This window comes from Homo sapiens, chromosome 7, assembly GCF_000001405.40.
Source record: "Homo sapiens chromosome 7, GRCh38.p14 Primary Assembly".
Taxonomy (NCBI): domain Eukaryota; kingdom Metazoa; phylum Chordata; class Mammalia; order Primates; family Hominidae; genus Homo; species Homo sapiens.
Genome location: NC_000007.14, coordinates 15,597,837 through 15,601,241, shown reverse-complemented (window position 1 = coordinate 15,601,241; position 3,405 = coordinate 15,597,837). Strand labels below are relative to the sequence as shown.

The following is a 3,405-nucleotide window of genomic DNA, read 5'->3' as shown; positions in this document are numbered from 1 at the left end:
GTTTGTTCTTACATCCAATTTCTTTTAGTTTAGTTATCTTGTTTCTCATCAAGTTGTGGTTTATAAGTATCAAATAAGAAATGGAAAGTTTTTGCTTCCAGACACAGGGCTATGAACAGAACTAGCATTTTAAATATCGAAGGAGAATACAGAAAAAAAACAAAGAGTAATTTGGAGGTATTGCCTTTAGATTAAAAATTTCCCTATTATAGCAGTATAAGAGGATTTTGTTATTATGACCTATAGACAGAAGAATTCATTGTAGTGGGAACTTGCTAGAGATGCAAATTCTCAGGCTCCACCCCAGACCAACTGAACCAAAAGCTCTATAAATGAGCTTAGCAATCTATGAAGCTACCAAAAAAAGAGGATAATTTTCCAGAAGCAACATTTTTGAATTGCCCTGATATGTAAAGAATAACAATTTTAAACACCATTTGGCCAGAAAAAATATTTTTGAATCTATAATTAATTTTAAGAATTTTCATGAACCATCTTTGTTCTTATTTTATCTAGTAAAACAGCAAAACTTCTAAAATACAAATTATCTTGAGGCGAATTTTGTAAAGTATTTAATTATCTCAAGTCACATGCTTGAAATTTGGAAATAGTATTGATAGCAGTGGTGGCCCACCTGGAGCAGCCACCACCAAGATGCTGGCTGCAGTGGAGGTGTGGCTGAGCTGCATGCTCCAGGGAGCCAGCAGGAGCTGGGAGCAGGCAGGAGCCCCACCCTTCCGGATGCAACTGTAGCTGCCCAAATCGTGGCTGCCCAGGCGGCCTCCCTGTGATCTTGGGGACTAAGAGAAGGCAGCAGCCCTGCCCTTCTGGGCACAGCTGCAGCAGCCCAAGTTACAGTGTGGACCCAGGTGTTCCTGTGCTCTTGGGGGCTCAGGAAGGCCCCCCACCTCAGCAGGTTTGGAGGTGTGTGCTCCTGCTGCCTGGCTTCTCCTCACTCCTGGCATACATGCTCCAATCTTGGAGTGAGGATAGGGCAGAGCCTGGGCACTGCTGCAACCCAGCCGGGTGTGCGCACTCTTGGGGCAGTGCTCACACACACCTTCCCCTTGCCACCATGGTCCCTTTAAACTCTGGGCACCAACAAGCATGGGAGGGAGGGCTGAGAGGGTGCTGATGGCAGTTTGGTGCTAATCTGCAGGCACCCCTTGGCACAGACAGCCTGGGCACCATAAATGGGGACAGGAAGCAGACAGGCTCCTGGGCAAAAGAGGGCAGGTCTCTGGTGAAGCCTTGCCTTCAAGTCAGTGAGGGCCTGAAGCCTGGGGACCAGACAGCTGGTCCAGCAGACTTGAGTGGGTCTTTGTTGTGCTTTTTCCAGCCACTGCCCATGGACCAATCAACATGCACTTCCTCTCCTCTGAGGCCCATAAAAGCCTCAGACCCAGCCAGACTCAAGTAGAGGATGGAACGACCAGCTGCAGAGAGGATCTGCCCACCCCAGGGTCTCCTCTCTGCTGAGAGCTGAAGGGACAACAGCACAGCCAGCTGTGGAGAGGAGCTTTCCACTCCAGGGTCTCCTCTCTGCTGGAAGCTGAACACTCACTGGGACACGCCAGCTGCCGAAAGGAGCTACTCACTGTAAGTATCCCCTGAGCTATTCTATCACTCAATAAAGCTCCTCTTTGCCTTGCTCACCCTCCATTTGTCTGCATATCTCATTCTTCCTGGGCATGAAACAAGAAATTGGGACCTGCCAAATGGCGGGACTAAAAGAGCTATAATACAAACCAGGCTGAAATACACCCTCTGGTCACTATGTTGCTTGCAACAAGAAGGAGAGAAATGAGAAGGAGAGAAGAGCTGTGGCCCTTTGGAGACCCCAGACCTAGGGGTTCCCCAGCCAGGGCTATGAGATCCTTTTTGGGGCTCTGCAGTTCCTGGCATCTCCAAGTTTCTGGGCAACACCACATTCCTTGGTGCCAGCATGGAAGCTGCTTGTAGTATGACTGGTTCAGCCACAGCCTCACAGGGAGCCAGCCTGCCTCACTGCAGCCAGCATGTCTGGCTGTGCACAGTGGCCAGACCTCACGCTTGCCCACAAACCCCTCACCGCTCCATGCTGGACTCACCCTTCGCAGGTGTGGAACTCAGGCGAGTAGCATGAGCTGAGTGCAGCCTACCAGGCCAAGTGGGAGGAACAAGCCCAACAGGCCTGAGCAAAACTCGGCAAAGGTGCCACTGGCCACAGAGGTTTCCAGCCAGAAAAACATTGCCCCAAGAATCCCAGGACAATATATTTAGCACCCTAAATAACAGTAATTACTTTTATCTGCCACAGGTAGTAACTGCATGAAGTGTATGTCCCCTAACACCTAAGGCAACAATACTAGTTTGGAGCATTAGGGAAAGAACAATTTTTAAAGTTTTGGAGAGCATATAAATGTACTTATATATGATTTTAAAATGAATTTTAGTTTGGAAATGCTAATATTATTATTTTCACTAGTAGAAAACACATGGACACATGTGCACACACATACACACATACAGCATTCCAGGTTAATACCTAATCATTTGAAAATATATGCCAAGATTAATCAGTTCGAGTGCCAAAACCCTATGGGAAGAACAAACATGAAAACGGAAAAAAGTGTTATTATTGTTGTGTAAAGAACACAATGCAAAATGTGCATTTAAACTGCAGTGTCAGAAAATGAGGTAGTTAAATATCAAAAACATCAAGAAGGAACTCCCTACATCATCACTATATAAAAAATACTCAACTAAAGTCAATAATAAAGTATATACTATTTTTGTACGTTTAATGGAATCAGTACCCCATTTTAAGTTCAATGGTACTGCTCTATTGCAATCCTGAAGTACAGTAATTATAAAAAGACCAGACTTGGGACGTTTTATTATTTCTTCTGCAGCCATAAGAACATACAACTGCCTCAAAAATATATATTTTGCTATTCATAGATAAAACATAAGAAATCCTTACCCTCAACACATTTTATGCTTCTCTCCAAATTTTATTCCTTCTCCAACCTCACACCCTAATCATTCCATCATAAGAACGAATGATGGAAGAAACAGTCAAGAATGAAAGAAAAACTCAGCTTCTTGCTATAAGCTTCTCCCTTCACCCTGTGAGGTCGCTTTCTGATCCCATGATCTGCCATGGAGTATACGAATTTCACTAGATATTTATCACTTCAGATTCTCTCCGAGTCAAGTGAATCGGACATTATCCAAGCCCACATATTAAGTTGAAAATGGTCTGAAATATTTTAAGAAAATAAGTGAGCACAAATCAACACTGGCTACCCTTGTTCAGCAGAGAAGAAAAAAGAGAGGACCATAATATTGTTTAAGGGAAAATGACGTAGACTAGAAATATTTTCAAATCATGAAACATCTACGATTCTAGATCTCTTGATG

The 3,405-nt window shown here is 44.3% G+C and overlaps 2 annotated features.

Moving 5' to 3' along the window:
* Nucleotides 1,504-2,032: an enhancer, noted in NCBI's record as "H3K27ac-H3K4me1 hESC enhancer chr7:15638835-15639363 (GRCh37/hg19 assembly coordinates)". NCBI's record gives its function as "activates a minimal SCP1, AML or CMV promoter by ChIP-STARR-seq in naive H9 embryonic stem cells {active_cell/tissue: H9 hESC(naive)}" and the evidence as "EXISTENCE:reporter gene assay evidence [ECO:0000049][PMID:30033119]".
* Nucleotides 2,033-2,563: an enhancer, noted in NCBI's record as "H3K4me1 hESC enhancer chr7:15638304-15638834 (GRCh37/hg19 assembly coordinates)". NCBI's record gives its function as "activates a minimal SCP1, AML or CMV promoter by ChIP-STARR-seq in naive H9 embryonic stem cells {active_cell/tissue: H9 hESC(naive)}" and the evidence as "EXISTENCE:reporter gene assay evidence [ECO:0000049][PMID:30033119]".